The 24,598-nt window shown below is 42.7% G+C and overlaps 1 long non-coding RNA gene across 6 annotated transcripts in view, besides 1 other annotated feature; it reads right to left on the bottom strand.

Annotated features, from left to right (window-relative positions):
- Nucleotides 4,079–5,052: an enhancer, noted in NCBI's record as "OCT4-NANOG-H3K4me1 hESC enhancer chr3:16830630-16831603 (GRCh37/hg19 assembly coordinates)". NCBI's record gives its function as "activates a minimal SCP1, AML or CMV promoter by ChIP-STARR-seq in naive H9 embryonic stem cells {active_cell/tissue: H9 hESC(naive)}" and the evidence as "EXISTENCE:reporter gene assay evidence [ECO:0000049][PMID:30033119]".
- Nucleotides 20,824–24,598, bottom strand: part of PLCL2UT (PLCL2 upstream transcript) — a 49,186-nt gene continuing 45,411 nt past the window's right edge. For 5 of the 6 annotated variants that reach the window (NR_199589.1, NR_199588.1, NR_199590.1 and 2 more), the window contains one exon: nt 20,824–24,043. This is a non-coding gene — a long non-coding RNA (PLCL2 upstream transcript). The remainder of the gene's footprint in view (nt 24,044–24,598) is intronic. The other variant, NR_199581.1, reaches the window with a different exon arrangement.

The raw sequence follows: 24,598 nt of genomic DNA, 5'->3' as shown, positions 1-24,598 counted from the left end.
TTAGGAAGTTCTTTTCCTTCTCTCTATAACTCTCTATCTCTCTGTCTCTCTCTATATCTCTCTACTTGTCCATCTGTTTAAAGTCTGTGCAGACTCATGGACTCTTATTTCATTCAGTGAGTTATACTTCATTACCATCATTACTTATTTTGATGTATAGCAAGCATTTTTAATATCCAAGAACTCTCACTTCCTGATTGCTTTCTCTTTTTGTAAATATTCTCACTGGCTGAAATAGGGATTGCTTTTCAATGTTCACTTCTCCATACTCAGTTTTTCTATCATTTCCTCTTTGTTTCTCTTTCTTGTGCAAATGGTTGCTTGCAAAGGGCTAAGAGTTTTTGGTCACCCATTCATCTTAAAATATAAAGGCTCATGCAGACTAATGCAAATGGCTGGTGACTCCTTCCTCAGTTGTGTCGGTCCTTTTCTAAGAGGCTTCACGGTAAATGTGAGAGCATATAGTCATCTGACGGCAGCTTCACTTTAGGATATGAGATCATGAAAACCCCCTCTGAGAATCAGAAGGGCTTTGCAGTGAGACACCAGCCCCCCACTTTGGAAGCTCCTGCTCTCTCCCCAAGGAGCTCTTGTGATATCTTTAGCCGACAGTGCTCCCACGTTTGTCCTGGAGATGAACCCCTAGCTGCTAGTTCTCCTGCAGCTCCATGGGTGGGCGAGGGGAGCATTTATGCATGTGAGTCGTGGGGGCAGGGAAACTTGCATAGCTTTGCCACAGGCAATCTTCCAATTTACACTTTCTCCACAGTTTACCATCCCACCTCCCACACTAGCTCTTTCTACCTGGTGACTCTCCACTTCCAATATTACTGGGACCCTGGGGGAGATGAGCTCCAGGCTGAGCTGCAGCCTTCATTCTGGCAGTGGTGGGTTCCTCCATCTGTTTACCTGTCAGTGTGCTCCCATTCACTGTCTGCCATCCAGACATTCATTAATAACTCACTCCCACGCTCCACACTCTTGGGGGCTTATTTCCTCTGGAACTTCTGTGTCATAATTTCAATAGAATTCAGAGAGAGAATGGGAAGACAAATGCATGTGGACCACCATCCTGACCGAGAAAGCCACATTGTTATAAGATGGTATAGTTCAAGGGCATTTGACTGGGATGTAGAGTACTTATCCTAATTCCACCAACCATCAATATCACCATGTTCTTATACTTCTTTTCCCCACCAGTCCCTTACAGCTCCAACATTCTGAGATTCTTTAGGTAGCATGTTCCCACAGAGCTGACACCCATCAGCTGCTTCTGTGAGCCTGATCCCTGACATTTCCTTCTGCCACCTCTATGCATCACAAATGAGCATTTGTGTCACCTTCTCCTTTTCCACAATCCATGAACATTCAAAAGTTTAAGTAGGAAGAGAATCAGAAGCTAATTATTCAGTGAGAACTGAGGAGTCTCAAAATGATGCAAAATCCTTTCACCCCTTTTTACTTTAAAATCCTCTGCTAACAACCGTAGACTCTGCTCTTTCTTGAGACCTACTGTAAAGATGAAAAGGGGTGCTACCTTTCCTCATGCATTATAAGGATCATGGCCAACACTCCTGTAACAAAAAACAGGTTAATAAGAGAAAAACGTAGCAAATTTATTTTATCAAAATTGTACATGATACAGGAGACTTCAGAAATGTAGACCCAAAGACACATGGAAAACTGTCTGTTTTTGTGGTTAGATTTTTATGAAGAATGGACAATCATATAAAATGTGATTGGATAAAAAGGATATTATCTAATGGTAATAGACTGTCAGGTCAGCGGGGACCCAGCAAGACCTGTCTGTTTATGTTCTTCTTGATCTCTCTCTGTAGCATTTCTTCCTCCCAGGTATGGGGCAGGACCCCCTGGAATCAGGGTCCTCAAAGGACAAGAGAGAAGAAAAAGAGTGACATTTCTAAGTTTTGACTCGCTATGACTTGCTTTGGAGGAGAAAGAGGGGCAGGAGACAAGGAGAGCAGAAGAAGGTCAAAGAGAGACTCTGCTTCTGAGGCCTTCCAATCTCCTTTAGTTCGAAGTACTCAGCATGCCAAGGCAGATACTTTGGGGAGTCATTTTCTGAACCCCAACACTACCTTTCCTAGAAACAAAAAGACACTAAAAGTGAAAAGATCAGGCAAGGGAAGTAGCAGAAGCAAAGCTGCCTGATACTGCCACAATAGTGAGAATATATTCATTCATCCAAAGAGAAGCTACCAGAACCCAAGAACATTTAAAACACAGCCCTTGTTCTCCAGAAATCTACAGATTCATCAATCATGTTTCCAATCATGGGGCCAAATTGGAAAGGAGCAGTCAAGTGTTTCTTCTCTAGATGAATGTGAGGGTGTATGAGATTTCACTGGTGGAGACTGCAGCCTTGAGGGGTGCCCTTTGTTACTGCCAAAAAACCGCCAAAGACGAATGAAAGATGTGCATCCCACCAAGAAGTAGACCTTGAAGCACATGGCACAGAGATGAGCCAATTCACAGGGAAGGAAGTGTGCCAAGGTGGTGTGCTAAGGACACAGGAAGAATGGATGTAGGTAGTCAAAGCCAGCATCTCATCTCCCCTTATACTATTTGCCCATTCAGAAAAGGCTTGCTGAAGTCAGTCAAAGATGGCATAGATCTTATGCAGAACATTATCTGAAGACAGGCTATTGCTTATAATAGCAAGTAGAAAAAATACGTATGGTTTATTTAGGCCAGTTTTAGCATTTGCCTCAGATATCTTCTATGGCATAACAAACCATTCCCAAACCTGATGGCTTAAAAAAAAAAAACAACCATTTTATTATACCTTATAAGATAATTTAGTGGCCAAAAATTTGACTAAGACTCAGTGGGGCAATTCTCTTATTTCATATGACCTCAACTGAGATCACTTGGTGACCTCACTAGTGGTATTCATGTGATTCTGATCTGGAATATCCAAGACAGTTTCACTATGTCTGGTGCCACAGTGTTGGATGGAAGGCTGTGCCCAGCTGGGACTGTGAACAGGAGTACCCATGTGTGACTACTTCAGCACTGCAGTCTCAGAGTAATTGGGCTTCTTACATGGTGGCTGAGGGCTCCAAATGAAAGTATTCCAAGACGTGGCAAGCGGACGATGACAGTGCCTTAAAGCCTGAGCCAAGATACTGCCACAGTATCACTTCCCCTGTATTCTATACACTCATAGAGCTGCCCATACTCAAGAGGAGGGAATCTGGACCCCACTTGTCAATGGAGGAGTATCAAAGAATTTGTGGCCATCTTAAACCACTACAGCATTAAAAAGGAAACTAGAGAACAGAGTGCTACGCTATCGCACTGACAGGATGACTAATCCTCGTGTTTTCCCATGATTTTCAGGGCTAAATCCAGGACCATTCCAGGCAAACTATATCAGTTGGTCATGCTATTTACTCAGCCCCATTCTAGATTCACCTTGACTTTGACTGGCATGGAGGCTGTATTAGCCTGTTTTCACACTGCTATAAAGATGCTACCTGAGACTGGGTAATTTATGGAGAAAAGAGGTTTAATTGACTCACAGTTTCACATAGCTGGGGAGGCCTCAGGAACCTTCAGTCATGTATCAGCATGATACATAGAAGTGGGGCCATTGCTATAACAATACCTAAAAATGTGGAAGCAGCTTTGGAACTAGGTAATGGGCAGAGGCTGTAAGAATTTGGGGAAGCAGGCTGGAAAAACCTTCATTGCTGTGAATGGAGCATTAAGAGCGATTATAAAGAGGGATCAGAAGAAGACTAGGGAAAGTCTGAATCTTCTTAGAGATGACTTAAGTGATCGTGACCAAAATGTTGATAGAAATAGGGACAGTAAAAGTCTCTTTGACAAAGTCTCAGATGGAACTGAAGAACAGGATATCAAAAATTAGAGCAAAGGTCATTCTTGTTGTAAAGTAGCAAAGAACTTGGCTGAACTTTATCCAAGCCTAAAATTGCTTTATGGAAGGTTTGGAATTTAAGAGTGATGAACTATTATATATGGCAGAAGAAATGTCTAAATTGCAAAGCATTTAGGCTGCTGCTGCTGCCTGGCTACTTTTAACTGCTTCAAGTAAGATGCTAGAAGAGAGAAATAATTTAAAGACAGAATTTATGACTAAAAGGGAAGCAGAGTGAAAAGACTTGGAAAATTCACAGCGTGGCTATGTAAGGAACAGAAAAGTATGCATGGGTATGGCCAAATGACTGTTTGCTAAAGAGATTAGCATGGATAGAAGGAAGGCAGATGCTATTCAACAAGACAATGGGAGAAAGACTCTGAAGGCATTTCAGAGATCTTCAAGGCTGCCTTTTTTTGCATCACAGGCCCAAAGCTCTAGTAAGGCAGAATGGTTTTGGGGAATGGGAACAGGGTACCCTCTGCAGGCTCAATGTCCAGGGCCACCTTGCTACTCTGCTCCCTGCACTCTGGTGTAGCACCCCTTGTCTGCCCCAGCTGTGGCTCAGATGGGCTCAAATATTGCTCAACCCACTGCTCTGAAAGATACAAATGGTAAGCCTTGGTACTGTTCACGTGGTGCTAATTCTGCAAGTGTACAGAATGTAACAGCTGTGAAGGCATGGCTTCCTCTATCTGGATGGCAAAGGATGCTGCAAACCATGTGTGAAAACCTAGGCAGACACCTGCCACAGTCGAGTGTGGGAGTGGAGAGTCACAACAGAGAGCCCTTAGTGGAGCAATACTCAGTGAAAGCATGTGGTTAAGGCAACCCTAAAGACCCCAGAACTGTAGAGCTACTTGCATGCAATGCCAGCCTGGGATAGCTGCAGGCACAAGACTTCAACCCCTCCAGTGTGCCCAGGAAGCAGGACATGGAGTCAAAGACTCCAGCCTTTTTTTTTTTTTCTTGCCCCATGTGATCATATTCTCCAGCTTTAAAAATTAATGTCTGCCCTTTTGGGTTTTACACTAACTTAGGGCCTGTTACTCTTTTCTTTTTGCCTATTTCTTCCTTTTGGAATGGGAAGGTCTATCCCATGTCTGTCCCACCATTGTATTTTGGAAGTAGATAAATTGTTTTGATTTCACAGGCTCAATAGCTGGAGGAATTTACCTTGGGACAAATCATGCTTTGAGTCTGTATTAGTCTGTTTCACACTGCTACAAATAAATACCTAAGATTTATAAAGGAAAGATGTTTAATTGACTCACAGTTCTGCATGGCTGGGGAAGCCTCAAGAAACTTACAATCATGGTGGAAGGCAAAGGGGAAGCAAACACCTACTTCCCAAGGCTGCAAGACGGAGTGAGTGCAAGAATGAGGAAGTGCTACACTTTAAAACCATCAGCTCTTGGTAAGAACTCACTATCTTGAGAACAGCATGGAGGAAATCACCCCCGTGATCCAATTACCTCCCCCTGGTTCCTCTCTTGACACATGGGGATTGCAATTTGAGATGAGATTTGGGTGCGGAAACAGAGCCAAACTATGTCAGAGTCTCACCTATATTTGATTTAGGTGAGACTCTGGAGTTTGGACTTTTGAGCTGATGCTGGAACAAGTTAACAATGTGGGGGCTGTTGGGATGGAGTGGATGTATTTTGCATATGAGAAGGACATGAGTTTTACAGCACCAGGGATAGAATGCTAGGGTCTGAATGTTCCCACCAAAACTCATGTTAAAATTTAATTCCCAGCCAGGCGCAGTGGCTCACGCCTATAATCCCAGCACTTTGGGAGGCCGAGGTGGGCAGATCATGAGGTCAGGAGATCGAGACCATCCTGGCTAACACGGTGAAACCCTGTCTGTACTGAAAAAACACAAAAAATTAGCCGGGCGTGGTGGCAGGTGCCTGTAGTCCCAGCTACTTGGGAGGCTGAGGCTGGAGAATGGCATGAACCCAGGAGGTGGAGCTTGCAGTGAGCCAAGATTGCGCCACTGCACTCCAGCCTGGGTGACAGAGTGAGACTCTGTCTCAAAAAAAAAAAAAAAAAAAAAAAAAAAAAAAAAAGTAATTCCCATTATAAGAGTACTAAGAGGTAGAGCCTTTAAGAGGTGGACTAATATCATTATTGGAGGGTGGGCTAGTTATCACAGGAATGTGCTCCTCATAAAAGGGTAAGTTAAGTCCCTATTTGCTCTCTCTGTCTCATTCACTAACTTCTACCTTCCAGCCTTCTGCCATGGGATGACCCTCACCAGATGCCAGTGCCACGCTCTTGAACTTAGCAGCTCTAGAACTATGAGCTGAAAAAAACTTTCTTTTCTCTGTAAATTACCCAGTCTGCGGTATTCAGCTATCATAATAGAAAATGGACTAACATAGCAGGCCATGGGCCTTCCCTTGAAGCAGGGAATAGAATGAGAGCCCCTGGGCACTGGAGCACTAGAAGGATATGACAGACCATATTTTCTAAAGACATTCATACCAATATATATTCTATTTCATATATTTTTACAGTGTGATGTTTAGAGCTCAGGGAATAAGTTCCTGATAACAATGAGAGGAGGTGAGAAACAAGAGAGACCATATGAGGAGCAGGTGACACCTCAGCCAAGAACTTAGTCAGAGGGAAGAGGTAACTCCAATTCCTGGGTAATGTTTGTGGAACAAATTATACATTATTGGAAAATAAGGTAAAGACAACCAGCGTAAAGTCACAACTCTTGCTCTACGCTCTCCAAATGGTGCATTATATCTCGGTTGATCCATTTGTTGTGTAACTTTTAATTCTTTGTTCAATTGGACTGACTTTTAACTTCCAAAGAGTGAAGATCAAATATCTTCATGTTCCCAGTGATTAACATAATATCTGAAAGAGAGCAGCAACTCAATATTTGTCTGATGAATAGGTAGATAGAGAAAATAACTGGTTGGCTGGCTAGCTCAGTGGATAAATGATGAATAGATAATAAATAATTGATGGATGGATGACAATTCCTCTTGGATCTTGAAGGCTGGCAAGCCTACCATACAAGCATGGACTTGTTATTCTGGCACTTAGGTGACTTTCTTATGGTCCTGAAACTGAAGGAAATCTATTTTTTAAAGCTTTTGGTTATCTCTTAATGATAATATACCTAAAGAGCTTTGTCTTTTTTTTTTTTTTAATTCTCCAAGAAACAGAAGCCAAAACACAGGCATCTGCAAGTAACCTATTGGAGAGTTGATCTCAGGAAGTGCTGGTAAAGGAGGGAAAAAGTAAGACAGGCAAGAGACAGGGGCCAATGAAAGATGCATTAATGAGTTTACTGCTTGGGAAACTGTACTCAATCCTTGTGTGAATATCTGGGAAATAGTGTAGAAGACATCTCAGAGTTGGCTCGTCCAAAAAGCAAGAGAGCTGGAGTATTTATCCACCAGCTCCCATCTCTCATTGGGTGAGGGTTAACCTCATGAGAAGGTCAACTGCTAGCATGTCTGATCTGCCCACATGCAGGCAAAAAAGTACCTGTGGCCAAAAAAGGAGAGTTGTGAGAGCTAGGGGCATGAAGCTATCCACCTACAGGCAAAGTGAGTACTGAGGGCTTACCAGCAGGACACTGACAACTTCCACTACAGGTTCCCTTCCACATAGGCCTTAAGCCCTGCTCATGTGGTTTGGAGACAGAGACGCTCAGGCCCCTGAGTTTCACGACACTCTCTGATTTTGGGCTGAGGGATATTTCCTGATAACAAAAGAGGTTGAAGTCAATCCTGTGTCACCTTCACTCTGTTTGATCCATTTGGGAACTATGGAGGCTGCACAATTCCTTGCAGGTTTTTGAGCTTTATCCTATCCATACCCATGTACTTACACCTCAATTAATTCTTCTTGTTATCCTATGTGTTGCTATAATGTTTGCTTTTAATCAAAATGTTGTTCAGTAAAATCTTTTTGCAAGGTTCCTTGTCTTCTGCCTCACTCTTCTGTCTTTAGAGCATTGATGAGACCTGGAAAGGTCTAACGGTGATAGAGAAACTGAGGCTCAGGTACTAGAAATAACTTAGACTAGGTTACCTACCAAGATTAAAACAGAGCTAGGATTACAATTCAAGTCTCTAGGCTTCTAGTTCAGAGGTTGACCAACTATGGTGCTTGGACCAAAACCAGCCCACTTCCTGGTTTTGTTAACGAAAGTTTGATTAAGGCATTTGTTACATATTATAGGAGATTTTTTTTGACACTACATTGGCAGAATGCAGTAGTTGCAACAGAGACATTGTAGTGTCAAAAAAGTCTTCCAGTACCTGAGCCTCAGTTTCTCTATCACCATTAGACCTTTCCAGGTTTCTTCAATGCTCTGAAAGACATCATGCCTGTCCTTACTTTAACTTCTAAATACCCATGCATTCAAGCAAGGACATCCCTCAATAGCTGCATGGCTTTCTGTAAGGAGTGGGTAATTTTAGGTGTATATCTTTCATGTTGGAGCCTGAGGAGTGGAGGCTAGGTGGGAAAACACTAGACTTGAAGTCAGAAGATGTGAACTGGAGTCTCATCTCTGCCTCTTAGTCAGTTGCATAATCTTGGGCAATTCATTTAACCTTTCTATACCTTGGTTTCCTCATCTATAAAATGGGGAAAACTGCCTACTTTTATGGGTCACTGTGAAGTCTAAAGGAGAGAGACTGTATGTGAGAGGACATTGTGACTGTGTGTAACGTGAGATAAATTGGGGAATAATAGGATAAACAACAGCCTAGAACAGGGCAAACATTTTCTGTAAAGGGCCAGATAGTGATTTCTATCCTGTTCAGTGGGAGGAGTCCACTCTTTTTCTACCCTGACTATTATCCCTTGGGGTCATGCCTTCTCTTATTTTAACTCCTAACTACCCACTGTGGTGTTTTACATATACTTTTTCATCCAGGGTTCCTGGCTTATGACTCCCATAACCTTTGTTATAGTCTTTTGTTATAATGTTGGGTATGTTAGGCCTCAGGAAACAGAATATTTCTGACCTTTTTCCACCTTCCCCTAGTGAGGACTCTAATCTTCCCTGATCTTTCTGAGTGTGAATCATAAGACCCTCATTCCAGAAAGGGTCCTGCCCCATACCCTGGGAGAAGGAATGTTGACGTCATGAGGCTTCCATAAAAACCTAAGAAAACAGGAATTGAAGGCAGCTTCCAGATAGCTGAACATCTGGAGGTTCCTCCTGGAGGGTGGCACACCCTGGGAGGGTATGAAAGCTCTGCACTCCTTTACCTGTACCACACCTTACGTGTCTCTTCATTTGTATTCTTTGTAATATCCTTCATAATAAATCAGTAAATGTAAGTAAATGTTTCCCTGAGTTCTGTGAGCTGCTCAAGCAAATTAATCAAACCCAGAGAGAGGGTCATGGGAATCCCGACTTGAAGCCATCTTGCAGGGGCAAGAATGAGCCACAACCCTGTGGGATCTGACACTGTCTCCAGGTAGATTATGTGGGAATTGAATTGGAGGACACCCAGTTGTTGTCTGCTGCTTGATGTGTGGGCCAAAATCCCCACATTTAGTCACAAAACTCTTCTGTGTTGATTGTTGCAGTGTGAGAGCAGAGGAAATACATGGTTCGAGTTGTTTTGAAATACCCATTCTGCCAAGCACCTTGTTCAACAGACTCATGACTTTCTGTATGGCTTGAATAATATTAGATATATGTCTCTTATATTTTCTTTTTACCTTCAACCCAAACAGATAGCTCTACAAGATAAATTATAAGAATTCGGGACCATGCTTAGGTTCTGCAACAGTGTCAGATTCCTATAATGTTTTCTAAATGCTTTCTCTAAATTTCTGTATTTCTCTTATTGCAGACTAGTAACTAGCAATCTGTGGCCCCACACCAATCCACACCTTGAGTGGCACTACAAGAGATACCCCTTCTTTATTTTTCAATGTGCTGGTTTCCTTTTGTATGCTCCATGCTCTGTTCCTCTCCACCCTCTCAGTACTGGCCCTGATTTCTTCTGTATTTCTATGTGTAAAGCAGAATTGAGACTTCATTGTAGCATTGTTAAGGTTTTGATTACCTCCATAAGCTCTGCCTACCAAAAATGCTGGCTCTCTACCTATTCTCTCAGGAATGGCTGCCCTGTGCCAGGCTCTCTCTCTTCCTCTCTGTGCACTCTGCCTACATTTGGGTGGCATCTGTCACTTAACCAGAGCAAAGGGAGAGTCTGTTTACCATCTTTGTGACAGGAGTGTCACTTCCTCACTGGGATCTAAGCTGAAAATGGATGTCCCCACTGGGCAGAAGCAGGGTAGACACTACCTGCATCCTGTCATTGAGACAGGAGCGTTTTCTGGACCCCTTCATGGGACTTGTGACAGGTGTGTGACACATTTGCCATCATGTGCTCAAACCCCTTACGGGATTGGAGTAGTCAGGTGAGCAGGTGCAGGAGCCAGGGCAAGTGCTTTTGGGCTCCAGCCTCATGGCAGTGTCTAGGGGTGTTACAATGCTCTTTTAGTCCTGCTGTCTGGGGATGGCTTAAGTATTAAACAGCTCAGTGTGACGGCCTTTCTGGGTTCCTGCACCCAGTATGTCTCAAATTCTTGTCCAGTGTCCAGGAAGAATCAAGTCCACATGGACTTGAAGGATGGAGAATACGAGGATTTTATTGAGTGTTAGAGGTGACTCTCAGCAGGATGGGTAGCTGGAGAGGGGATGGAGTGGGAAGATGATCTTCCCCTGGAGTTTGGCCATCTTGCGGCTGATCTCTCTGACTGTCCACAGCCAGACTCCTCTCAACGTTCATATGCTTCCTCTCTTCTCTCCTTCTCTGCTGTACTGCTCTGCTGCTCTTCCACTCTGCCACCCTTCTGCTCGTGGAACCTGGGGTTTGGGGTTTATATGGACACAGGATAGGGTAGTGTGGCAGGCCAAAAGGCAGCATTTGGGTGAAAAACAGGAATGCCTGTTCTCATTTAGGGCCGCAGGTCCAGGCATGAGGGTGGAGCCCTCACCAGGGACCCTGCTCTCCTGCCTCCATGTCCGTATCATCATCCCCCTGGGAACTACTTCTCCTCACTGCTGTCCCTTGCCTCCAGATACAAAGCCCTACTTGACTGATTTCATTTCTAGTTGATCACATCATACTGAATACCGAGTAACTAGAAGATTCATTGAATGACAGCTGCCTTGCCAGAAAGCCTAGTCGTTCCCATTGATTCAAACCTCCCTTAAAGCTACTAAGAATAGGTGCATAGGCATTTTTTTAACAAGAAGAGATAGGTGCATATTTTAAACTATATACCAATTTAATCTGAAGTGTTAGTTGCTGAAATACACTGTGAAGTAGCATTTTTAAATGAATAAAATTTTAGCCTTTACTCCCAGTTTGTGTTTAGACTTTGATGACTACATTTCTCCAGAAGACAAAGTATTTTGGGAACGGTTTGGGAATAGAACTGGCTTCAGTTGAAATTAAAGATTGTCACCGTCAGATATTTTGTCTCTATACCCTTTCATCTCCTACTTTTAGCTCCATGATTTGTTAATTTTCCTATATTTCAAAGGCAAGAGGTGCCAACCTTGACAAAGGCAGAGAGGCACTGGGGAAAGGGAAGGAACTTCCAAACTGGAGGAAATACATTATCATGTAAATGTTATTTCAAATACTTGGAAAGATATTTTAGTTAAAGATAATGTTTTTAAAGATTAAAAATACTAAACTTTTAAAGATTCAAGACATTCTTATTAAATTAAAATGTTGGGCAAATGCCAAAAAAGTATTGTGGTTTGAGAAGTCTGACAAATATAAAGATTCTGTTTCCTAAATCCATCGAAGTCCCATATCCCAGGAAAACTGAGACTCACAGCTTTCCAGACAACTTAAATCCCCAAAGCATGACATGCTATAAGATTCTGGGTCATCACTGGAATTCAGGGTATTCCAAAGATTGTCCTCCTTCTTCCTGGCCTCCCTCCTTCCTATTGATTCTAGCAGCTGATATTTAAATATCAGGACAAGAAATAACACTGTTTTCCCCCAGCTGTTTTTAAAAAATGAATTGTTGAAGCCAGACATGATTGTCATTGCACAGCCCCAATGTGTAACTGACACTTTTTAAGAAGTTATTTTTTTCTTTCAAAACACAAGTGTGACAATTCCTACATAAAATTAATCCTCTGTCAACTGGGAAACACAATCCCTCTAATTTTTTAGCACACTACTTTTAGAAGAAAGAGGCAATTGAAAAGAAAACTAGCTAATGTTGAGCACATTTGTTTAAGGGAACTTTCTTTTTTTTAATTATACTTTAAGTTTTAGGGTACATGTGCACAACATGCAGGTTTGTTACATATGTATACATGTGCCATGTTGGTGTGCTGCACCCATTAACTCATCATTTACATTAGGTATATCTCCTAGTGCTAACCCTCCTCACTCCCGCCACTGCACGACAGGATCTGATGTGTGGTGTTCCCCACCCTGTGTCCAAGTGTTCTCATTGTTCAATTCCCACATATAAGTGAGAACATGTGGTGTTTGGTTTTCTGCCCTTGCGATAGTTTGCTCAGAATGATGGTTTCTAGCTTCATCCATGTGCCTACGAAGGACATGAACTCATCCTTTTTTATGGCCGCATAGTATTCCATGGTGTATATGTGCCACATTTTCTTAATCCAGTCTATCATTGATGGACATTTGGGTTGGTTCCAAGTCTTTGCTATTGTGAATAGTGCCGCAATAAACATACGTGTGCATGTGTCTTTATAGCAGCATGATTTATAATCCTTTGGGTATATACCCAGTAACAGGATGGCTGGTCAAATGGTATTTCTAGTTCTAGATCCTTGAGGAATTGCCACACTGTCTTCCACAATGGTTGAACTAGTTTACAGTCCCACTGACAGTGTAAAAGTGTTCCTATTTCTCCACATCCTCTCCAGCACCTGTTGTTTCCTGACTTTTTAATGATCACCATTCTGACTGGTGTGAGATGGTATTTTATTGTGGTTTTGATTTGCATTTCTCTGATGGCCAGCGATGAGCATTTTTTCATGTGTCTGTTGGCTGCATAAATGTCTTCTTTTGAGAAGTATCTGTTCATATCCTTCACCCACTTTTTGATGGGGTTGTTTGATTTTTTCTCATAAATTTAAGTTCTTTGTAGATTCTGGATATTAGCCCTTTGTCAGATGAGTAGATTGCAAAAATTTTCTCTCATTCTGTAGGTTGCCTGTTCACTCTGATGGTCGTTCCTTTTGCTGTGCAGAAGCTCTTTAGTTTAATTAGATCCCATTTGCCAATTTTGGCTTTTGTTGCCATTGCTTTTGGTGTTTTAGACATGAAGTCCTTGCCCATGCCTATGTCCTGAATGGTATTGCCTAGGTTTTCTTCAGGGTTTTTATGATTTTAGATCTGATATTTAAGTCTTTAATCCATCTTGAATTAATTTTTGTATAAGGCGTAAGGAAGGGATTCAGTTTCAGCTTTCTACATATGGCTAGCCAGTTTTCCCAGCACCGTTTATTAAATAGGGAATCCTTCCCCTATTTCTTGTTTTTTGTCAGGTTTGTCAAAGATCAGATGGTTGTAGATGTGTGGTATTATTTCTGAGGGCTCTGTTCTGTTCCATTGGTCTATATCTCTGTTTTGGTACCAGTACCATGCTGTTTTGGTTACTGTAGCCTTGTAGTATAGTTTGAAGTCAGGTAGCATGATGCCTCCAGGTTTGTTCTTTTGGCTTAGGATTGTCTTGGCAATGTGGAGTCTTTTTTGGTTCCACATGAAGTTTAAAGTAGTTTTTTCCAATTCTGTGAAGAAAGTCATTGGTAGCTTGATGAGGATGGCATTGAATCTATAAATTACCTTGGGCAGTATGGCCATTTTCACGATACTGATTCTTCCTATCCATGAGCATGGAATGTTCTTCCATTTGTTTGTGTCCTCTTTTATTTTGTTGAGCAGTGGTTTGTAGTTCTCCTTGAAGTGGTCCTTCACATCCCTTGTAAGTTGAATTCCTAGGTATTTTATTCTCTTTTAAGCAATTGTGAATGAGAGTTCACTCATGATTTGGCTCTCTGTTTGTCTGTTATTGGTGTATAGGAATGCTTGTGATTTTTGCAAATTGACTTTGTATCCTGAGACTTTGCTGAAGTTGCTTATGAGCTTAAGGAGATTTTGGGCTGAGACGATGGGGTTTTCTAAATATATAACCATGTCATCTGCAAACAGGGACAATTTGACTTCCTCTTTTCCTAATTGAATACCCTTTATTTCTTTCTCCTGCCTGATTGCCCTGGCCAGAACTTCCAACACTATGTTGAATAGGAGTGGTGAGAGAGGGCATCCCTGTCTTGTGCCCATTTTCAAAGGGAATGCTTCCAGTTTTTGCCCATTCAGCATGATATAGGCTGTGGGTTTGTCATAAATAGCTCTTATTGTTTTGAGATACGTCCCGTCAATACCTAATTTATTGAGAGTTTTTAGCATGAAAGGCTGTTGAATTTTGTCGAAGGCCTTTACTGCATCTATTGAGATAATCATGTGGTTTTTGTCTTTGGTTCTGTTTATATGATGGATTACATTTATCGATTTGTGTATGTTGAACCAGTCTTGCATCCCAGGGATGAAGCCCACTTGATCATGGTGGATAAGCTTTTTGATGTGTTGCTGGATTTGGTTTGCCAGTATTTTATTGAGAATTTTTGCATCAATGTTCATCAGGGATATTGGTCTAAAATTCTCTTTTTTTGTTGTGTCTCTGCCAGGCTTTGGTATCACGAAGATGGTGGCCTCTTAAAATGAGTTAGGGAGGATTCCCTTTTTTTCTATTGATTGGAATAGTTTCAGAAGGAATGGTATCAGCTCCTCTTTGTACCTCTGGTAGAATTTGGCTGTGCATCCGTCTGGTCCTGGATTTTTTTGCTTGGTAGGCTCTTAATTATTGCCTCAATTTCAGAGCCTGTTATTGGTCTATTCAGGGATTCAACTTCTTCCTGGTTTAGTCTTGGGAGGGTGTATGTGTCCAGGAATTTGTCCTTTTCTTCTAGATTTTCTAGTTTATTTGCATAGAGGTGTTTATAGTATTTTCTGACGGTAGTTTGCATTTCTGTGGGATCGGTGGTGATATCCCCTTTATCATTTTTTATTGCGTCTATTCGATTCTTCTCTCTTTTCTTCTTTATTAGTCTTGCTAGCGGTTTATCAATTTTGTTGATCTTTTCAAAAACCAGCTCCTCGAGTCACTGATTTTTTGAAGGGTTTTTTGTGACTTTATCTCCTTCAATTCTGCTCTGATCTTAGTTATTTCTTGCCTTCTGCTGGCTTTTGAATGTGTTTGCTCTTGCTTCTCTAGTTCTTTTAATTGTGGTGTTAGGGTGACAATTTTAGATCTTTCCTGCTTTCTCTTGTGGGCATTTAGTGCTATAAATTTCCCTCTACACACTGCTTTAAATGTGTCCCAGAGATTCTGGTATGTTGTGTCTTTGTTCTCATTGGTTTCAAAGAACATCTTTATTTCTGCCTTCATTTCTTTATGTCCCCAGTAGTCATTCAGGAGCAGGTTGTTCGGTTTTCATGTAGTTGAGCAGTTTTGAGTGAGTTTCTTTTTTTTTTTTTTTTTTGAGATGGAGTCTCGCTCTGTCACCCAGGCTGGGGTGCAGTGGCGGGATCTCAGCTCACTGAAAGCTCTGGTCCCAGGTTCGCACCATTCTCTTGCCTCAGCCTCCCGAGCAGCTGGGACTACAGGCGCCCACCACCACACCCGGCTAATTTTTTGTGTTTTTAGTAGAGACGGGGTTTCACCATGTTAGCCAGGATGGTCTCAATCTCCTGGCCTCATGATCTGCCCGCCTTGGCCTCCCAAAGTGCTGGGATTACAGGCGTGAGCCACCACACCCAGCCTTGAGTGAATTTCTTAATCCTGCGTTCTAGTTTGATTGCACTGTGGTCTGAGAGACAGTTTGTTATAATTTCTGTTCTTTTACATTTGCTGAGGAGTGCTTTACTTCCAACTATGTGGTCAATTTTGGAATAAGTGCGATGTGGTGCTGAGAAGAATGTATATTCTATTGATTTGGGGTGGAGAGTTCTGTAGATGTCTATTAGGTCCACTTGATGCAGAGCTGAGTTCAATTCCTGGATATCCTTGTTAACTTTCTGTCTCGTGGATCTCTCTAATGTTGACAGTGGGGTGTTAAAGTCTCCCATTATTATTGTGTGGGAGTCTAAGTCTCTTTGTAGGTCTCTAAGGACTTGCTTAATGAATCTGGGTGCTCCTGTATTGGGTGCATATATATTTAGGATAGTTAGCTCTTCTTGTTGAATTGATCTGTTTAAGAGAAATTTCTAGGCTAATCCCAGAGTCACACAGGTTCCACACGATTGCTTTCTTGTTCCGCATTTGTGGTTTTGGTCAGTGCTGATCAATAGTTATAATACTGACCCTCAGGCATGTTAACCTTCCTTTGACCATCAAAGGAAGAGTAAGTATTACTTGATGCATTGTCCTTACTAAGGCAGGAAATAATTAGACTGGAATGTTTTAGTAAGACTTTTAATATCAGTTTAAACCTTCATTGTAACTAATTCAGGAAGCTAGAATCCATATTCTTCGAATACTCTGGTTAAACTATTACCTCATTTGTAAAATGAGAGAATTCTATTAGAAAGTTCACTCATTTACCCAGCAAAGAGTTATTAAGTGTCTAATTTGTGCCAAATACTATGTTTGACACTGGAAATATAGGCATGAACAAAACAAAGTCCCTGCACTTATACTACTTATAGATTAATCAGAGAGATAGATATAAAGTAAATCATTACATAAATAATTTATAGTTGTAATTGTGGTAGGTGCTACAAAGAGAAAGTATGAGATGTTATGAAAAAATATTATGTGGACAGAGAGCTTAATCCAGGATTCTTAAATCTCAGCAGTGAGAGCTTGTGCAAAGGCATTGGGGTGGGATAGAGCCCACCCTTTAGAGAAAATGAAAGTAGGAAAACAGAGATAAAACAATATAAATGAGAAACGAGAGATGAGCCCAGAGACCAAGCAGTGAGTAAACACACAAGGCTCTCTGATGAGAGCCTTGTGGAGCATAACAATGAGTTCATACTTTATCCAAACAGCAATGGAAAACTGCCTGAGACTCTTCTTCATCCCCCAATATTGCTTCTATCCTTCTTCCTTTGGCAATAGGACCCCTGATTCTAGGCAGGCACACGGCGCCCAAGATAAAAATTACATTTCCTGGACTCCCTTGTGAATGAGTTCTGGCCAATGAAGTGCAAGCAGAAATAGTGGAAGCAACTTCCAGGAAGTATTTTTAAAGAAGAGAGTGTATTCTTCATTTTTCCATCAGGTGAGAATTCTGACATGATGGCAGGAGTTTGAGCAACCACTTTAGACCATGAAGTAGAAGCCACATTTTGAGGCTAGCAGTACTAGAAGGTGAAAGAAGCCTGAGTGCCTGTCATCATGGGGCCATACCAGTCCTGGAGATAGACCTCTGAGCTTCCTCAATATGAGAAAAAAATTATACTGAATTACACTTTTGTTCAAGTCACTGTTATTTTAAGCTTCCTCTCAGTCTCTGCTAAGCTTATTCTTAATTAATATTGAACTCAGTTCTTAAAAATAGAGTTTAAAGAAAGGTCTTTCATGATGGGATTATGATCTCTTAAATCCACAAATTTCTTTTGTGACATGGCTGAATATATTTAATATATGAAACAAAACCCTGAGAAAAACCTATTTGCTTGTTCATTTGTTTTTTTTAAGATTTAATGGATATTTATTTTCAGTGTTCCTTTTTTGAATATTTATGTGCTTATATTTTATTTTATTTTTTTAAGTTCTGGGGTACATGTGCAGGATGTGCGGGTGTGTTACATAGGTAAACGTGTGCCATGGTGGTTTGCTACACCAATCACCCATCACCTAGGTATTAAGCCCAGCATGCATTAGCTCTTTTCCCTAATGCTCTCCTCCCTTCCCCCACCCTCCCCTGACAGGCCCCAGTGTGTGTTGTTCCCCTCCCTGTGTCCATGTGTTGTTAATTTGTTTCTTTATCCAATCACTTATTCATTCAGCACCTACTATAAGTAAAGCACTTGTTTTAAGTATTGCAGAGGACAAAGCTCACAATTTGAGGCCTACCCTAAACGGACTCACTATTTAGAAACAAAGAAAGTAGTCATCAGTAAGATGCAAATGGCCAAAGAAGATGGTTAAGGAAAAGCTGATGTTAGGAAAATTTATGGAGGTAATAAACCATAATACATTGAGTTTAAGAGAGCGTATAAAACTACCATATAGCCTAAGCCTGTATAATGCCTCCAATCCAATTCAGAAACTATCTAAACTAACACTCTAAGACATAAAGTTTCAGCACAGCAAGAAGCTTTAGAGAGAGCTAATATTTGTCCAATTCTATAATTAATAGGATTCTGCTGACCTGAGCAAACCACTCAGGCAAAGTAAATAGGCAAAGATAATTTCTTTCTTTGAAATCAGGGATTAACGAAGAACACTCAGCCAAGCACTGGGCTTCAAACACCTGCTGATATCAGCTTTACCGCTGTTGTTGCTGAAGCTAGTCCTTAATCATGAGTTTATCACATTTGTGGAGATCTTACTTAAGAATTAATGCTGCAGATTTACATGGGAGGAATTTGATCCTGTGTCTAGAAGTTGAAGAGCCAAATCCCTCAGCAAACAATCCTTTGAGACTATTTAGGAGGACATAACAGCTGAAGAAGGAGGCATGTGGAAGTTTGGGTGCCACAAAATCTTGGGGCAGGGCAGTCAAGGGAGGAAAGGGCTATTTTTGAGCACCTCTGTGCTAGGGATTGTGTAGGGATATGAAAATGCCTATTTAATACTTATAACATCTCTGCAAGATTGTCATGTATCTCCTATCACAGGTAAAGAAACTGAGGCTAAAGAAGACATGATTTGACCCAATCATGGAATGAAGCTGCAGCTAGACCGTAAAACAGGTTCTGCCGTTTAAGGCAGGCTACCTGAAACTCTGTGGGATACGGTGTCTTCATTTGTAAATTGGAGGTGAGGGGTGTTAGCCGATGGTCTCCAAGAGTATTTCCCTCATAAAAGCCCAGCTATGGGTCTCTACCTGACAGCCAACAAACCCGTTGCTGTGTCTTGGGGGAACCTTCCAGTCCCAGTAATAGTGTGTCCGGAATTGGTGGGTTCTTGGTCTCACTAACTTCAAGAATGAAGCCGCGGACCCTCTCGGTGAGTGTTACAGCTCTTAAGGTGGCGCGTCTGGAGTTTTGTTCCTTCTGATGTTCGGATGTGTTGGGAGTTTCTTCCTTCTGGTGGGTTTGTGGTCTCGCTGGCTCAGGAGTGAAGCTGCAGACCTTCGCGGTGAGTGTTACAGCTCTTAAGGCAGCGCGTCTGGAATTATTCGTTCCTCCCGGTGGGCTTGTGGTCTCTGTGGCTTCAGGAGTGAAGCTGCAGACCTTCGTGGTGAGTGTTACAGCTCATAAAAGCAGTGTGGACTCAAAGAGTGAGCAGTAGCAAGACTTATTGCAAAGAGTGAAACAACAAAGCTTCCACGGTGTAGAAGGGGACCCGAGCGGGTTGCCACTGCTGACTCAGGCAGCCTGCTTTTATTCTTTTATCTGGCCCCACCCACATCCTGCTGATTGGTAGAGCCCAGTGGTCTGTTTTGACAGGGAGCTGATTGGTGCATTTACAATCCCTGAGCTAGATACAAAGGTTCTCCACCTCCCACCAGATTAGCTAGATACAGAGTGTGGACGCAAAGGTTCCCCAAGGCCCCACCAGAGTAGCAGCTAGATACAGAGTGTCGATTGGTGCATTCACAAACCCTGAGCTAGACACAGGGTGCCGATTGGTGTGTTTATAAACCTTGAGCTAGATACAGAGTGCTGATTGGTGTATTTACAATCCCTGAGCTAGACATAAAGGTTCTCCAAGGCCCCACCAGAGTAGCTGGATACAGAGTGTTGATTGGTGCATTCACAAACCCTGAGGTAGACACAGGGTGCTGATTGGTGTATTTACAATCCCTGAGCTAGACATAAAGGTTCTCCACATCCCTACCAGACTCGGGAGCCCAGCTGGCTTCATCCAGTGGATGCCGCACTGGGGCTGCAGGTGGAGGTGCCTGCCAGTCCCGTGCCGTGCGCCCGCACTCCTCAGCCCTTGGGTGGTCGATGGGACTGGGTGCCGTGGAGCAGGGGGCGGCACTTATCAGGGAGACTGGGGCCACACGGGAGCCCATGGAGTGGGTGGGAGGCTCAGGCATGGCAGGCTGCAGGTCCTGAGCCCTGTCCCATGGGAAGGCAGCTAAGGCCCAGTGAGAAATCGAGCACAGTGCTGGTGGGCTGGCACTGCTGGGGGACCCATTACACCCTCCGCAGCCGCTGGCCCTGGTGCTAAGCCCCTTATTGCCCGGGGCCAGCAGGGCCGGCTGGCTGCTCCAAGTGCGGGCCCGCCAAGCTCACGCCCACCCAGAACTCCAGCTGGCCCGCAAGCGCCGCCCGCAGCCCCGGTTCCTGCTCCTGCCTCTCACTCCACACCTCCCTGCAAGCTGAGGGAGCCAGCTCCGGCCTTGGCCAGCCCAGAAAGGGGCTCCCACAGTGCAGCAGTGGGCTGAAGGGCTTCTCAAATGCCGCCAAAGTGGGAGCCCAGGCAGAGGAGGCACCGAGAGCAAGCGAGGGCTGTAAGGGCTGCCAGCACGCTGTCACCTCTCAATAGTACACTCTCTCCTTTGTACTAAATTTACAAATTTAGTATAATAAACCAACTGTCTTTATAGCTATTCTTCATGTCATTTGAAAACACATGTGATTTGAAACTGGCACTCTCAAACACAATGTTGCACACTTTATGAAAAAGAACAAAATGAAAAAAATTACAAGATCAACACTTAAAAGTTTTGATTCCATGATTTTATTTGATGATGAGTCATTTCTGTCTTGTTTATAACTGTGGATGTAGGGAGTTAGTGTAGCAGCTCTGCTCCATGAAGCTCTTGAGGGCCTGAGACCCACCTAGGTCAGTGCTCTATCTTCCCTGTGATGTGGCCCTTGTCTTCATAGGCAAAGATAGGGAATAGAACTTCAGAAATAATATCTGCATCCCAGGCATGAGGATGACAGCAAAAGAAGAAGAAAAGAACGTGTACCAGCAGCCACATTGTACTGGTGTTTACATCTCATTGGCCAGAATTTAGTCACAGGACCAAGTGTTCCTGCCACACAAACTATGAAATATATTCTTTATTCTGGGCAGCCATATACTCTGCTGTAAGTCTGAGGCTTTATTATGAAGGAAGAAGTAGAGAATAGATACTGGTAATAACCAGCAGTCTCTGCCAGTAAGTAAAAAAGGGACAGTGAAGTTTGTATATTATCTTGTTACATATGAAGAAGAGGATATATGCAGGCATGCCTTTTTTATTGCACTTTGCTATATTGCATTTCACAGACACTGCATTTAAAAAAAAAAAAGGGAGGTTTGTGGCAACCTGCATTCAGCACCATTTTTCTAACAGCATGTGCTCACTTCCTGTCTCTGTCATGTTTTGGTGCTTCCTGCAATATTCCAAGCTTTCATTATTGTTACACCTATTATGATGATCTGTAATCAGTGATCTTTCATGTTACTATCATAATTGTTTTGGGACACCACGAATCATGTCTATACAGGATGGTGAACTTAATTGATAAATGTGTATGTTCCAACTGCTCCACCTGTACCTGGACAAAACGGGTCTGGCTGCTTGGTCTCATGGTCTAATTAATGAGATGTGGACAGACTGGTAAAGAAGAGGGTTTACTTCTGTAACCGGCCACAGGGAGAAGGTCAGGGAAGTTCACCAGACCACTCAAAATTACAAGTTTTTCTTCAGGCCTTATATACATTCAAGCTATATGCCTACATGTGGTGTGCACCTGCCATTAGGGGTGTTTCACTCAATCTAATCTTTAACTAGGGTCTGGGGTCTGGAAAGTTTCTTTAGAACCTTGGAAAGATTACTTAATCTTAAGTGGGCCCTTGTACAAGGTGTGTGTAAAAATGCCTTCATTATTTTATCAGGGTTTAAGGTCTGAGAAAACCCAGGTGGGGTCTTAATGGGTTTGTCTTCACATTTCAGCCCTTGTATTAAGGCACCAGTTTCTCCAACTACTAATGTTTAATTTACACATTCATCAGAATTACAGTAGAGGGTTAGTGGAAACTGACTGTTCTGGTTGCTAACGGAGACCTGGCCTGCCACAGTCCCCACAATTTGTGCATGATTCCTATCATGTCAGTTACTTTTTTTAAGATTAATTCATTAAAGATTAGTACAAAAGTGTAAACTATAACATAGCAGACTAAAGAGAAATGGGCTACGTAGTCTCTCTGGCTACTTCCTGCTGAATAGGGTCGTTGTCAGGGGGCGTTAGAGTGGAAGATGTCTCTTTGGCTCTGGTAATGCTCCTGACTTGGGGGGCTCAAGGGAAGTTCCTGTTGAAATATAATCGAATGAGTTTGGGGAATGTGTTGGGAAAACATGCGACAAAAATACAGTCCACAACACAGTGCTATGCCTACGCTCCAGAGGGTGGCAAGGACAATGAGGATTTTCTGCCACCAGGAAGGTCTTCCACTAAACTGAGATGCTATCCAGTCATGGAGTGACAGTGCAGAGCTGGAGATGACTTGGATTTGCCGACATGTATCCTCTAAGGCCAAGGAAATGTTTCTAGAGTTATTGGGAATATACACACAACATTCAGTTTTGATGAGGGCACAGGTTCCTCCTTCAGCCGCAGTTAAAATATCTAGGGCCATTCGGTTTTGTAAGATGTCCTCGTGCATATAATACACTTCAGCATTCATGAGAGAAATACTTTGGAGGCTGTCATTTAGGGCCCGTTGGGTAAAATTGGCTAGAGCCTCTATGTGCTGTATTACAGTTCCTAAACCTACTGAGGGCATAAAGATTGTGGGTAGGTGATCATTCCTGTGAACAATGGCCCTAGTCCCTTGGTTAACCACATGTGGAAGATAAGGATAGACTTCCATGGTTTTTACCCAGCGTCCTTGTGCCCAGGGAATACCTAGAGTGCAGCATCCTAACCAACCTGAGGGAAGCCAAGGCCATAAGTTTGGGCTGCAGAGCCACTGGGTTCCGTTGGGAGCATACCAATTCAAGCCAGGTTGCTGAGACCAGTCTGTGGCAAATAGGTCCCTCTGTTGTAACAGTATAGTATGTCGGCACTGTCCAGGTGGAATCCATCCCATAACACGAGTTGTGTTTGGCCAGTTATCAAGGGAGTGATTTCTTTGCTCCCAGCATAAGGGAGCTATCTGGCTTAAGTGTCCCTTAGTGGCTGTCAGCCAAATGAACCCGTCCCATATCTGGAGAAACCCATTTCTATATTGAGTGTTCTGAGGTCTGGAAGTCTGGACAAACACCTTGGTATCCAACAAGGGGATGGCAAAGGCTATTACTTTATCCCTTGTCTCATTTACTGAGAATGGTTTATCATGCCCTGGCTCATTTAAAGTTTTATTTATAGGCCATTCTGAAATGTTTTTTCTAGTTACCCCAGTCATCTGTGCCCCTGTCCATTGTTTAAGATCCCCTATAAAGCTTTGAAAAAAAACCCAGTCTTTCCCTTGTAGCGGGGAGACCCACCAAGGTAGCTCCATGGTGTTAGTGACGGGTAACGAACCACAGACCCAGCAAGGGTCTCCTTGTTGTAAGCCATCTGCATAACTGTGTGCCCATTGTAGGAAAACGTTAGAGGTAGAGGCATTAACAACAAAAGGAGCAGAAAGGAAAAATATTATAAGGGAAAATCTTGTCATTTGTTGAACAGAAATCTTAGGCCTTCCAGGGGTTCCATCTCCCATTCGGTGGCCTTGGTGTCCTCTGTCGTGGATGTTTCTTCTTGCAGGAACTTTTTCAATCGTGTGTAGTGGATCCATGGCTTGATGTCCACCAGTTTCAGTGCTGAACTGGTGCTTAGCAGCACATCATAGGGCCCTTTGTATTTCTCCTGCAGCTGGGAAGCAGGGTCTGTTTCTTTCCATTCTTTTAATAGCACTTGATCACCGGGCTGGAATGTGTGGCACAGTTCTTCAGAGTTCACAATGCTCCTGTTAAATTTATGCAAAAGGTTAAGAGTTTGTCCCAAGTGAGTAACACAGTTTTTAATAGTTAACTCCCTGTTAAGGGGTGCCTCAGTAACCCGAGATGGATTAGCAGCAAAGGGTCTCCCAAATATAATTTTGTAGAGACGAGACTTAATCCCACTTTGGGGGTTACCCTTACCCGGAGCAGTGCAATGCCGAGTACCTGAATTCCCTTTAACTGGGTTTCCCAGCACAGTTTGGCAATGATTGTTTTCAGTGTTAGATTCATTCTTTCCATCTGTCCGGAAGATTGAGGTCTCCACACCGAATGTAGTTTCCATTTTATTCCAAGTGCCTTATTTACTTATTGAGTTATGTCAGATGTGAATGAGGGCCCATTATCGCTTTGAATTATGTCCAGAAGCCCATACTGAGGTATGATTTCCTTTAAGAAAACTTTAATTACTTCAGTTGCTCATTCTGTGAGCCTCTACCCAGCCAGAGAAGGTGTCTACTAGAACTAAGAGGTATTTGTATCCTCCACGGGAGGGTGGCATTTGAGGAAAGTCTATTTGCCAA

This window comes from Homo sapiens, chromosome 3 (genome assembly GCF_000001405.40).
Source record: "Homo sapiens chromosome 3, GRCh38.p14 Primary Assembly".
Classification (NCBI taxonomy): Eukaryota; Metazoa; Chordata; class Mammalia; order Primates; family Hominidae; genus Homo; species Homo sapiens.
Note: the sequence above shows the minus strand (reverse complement) of the source record. Positions and strands in the feature narration are given on the sequence as shown.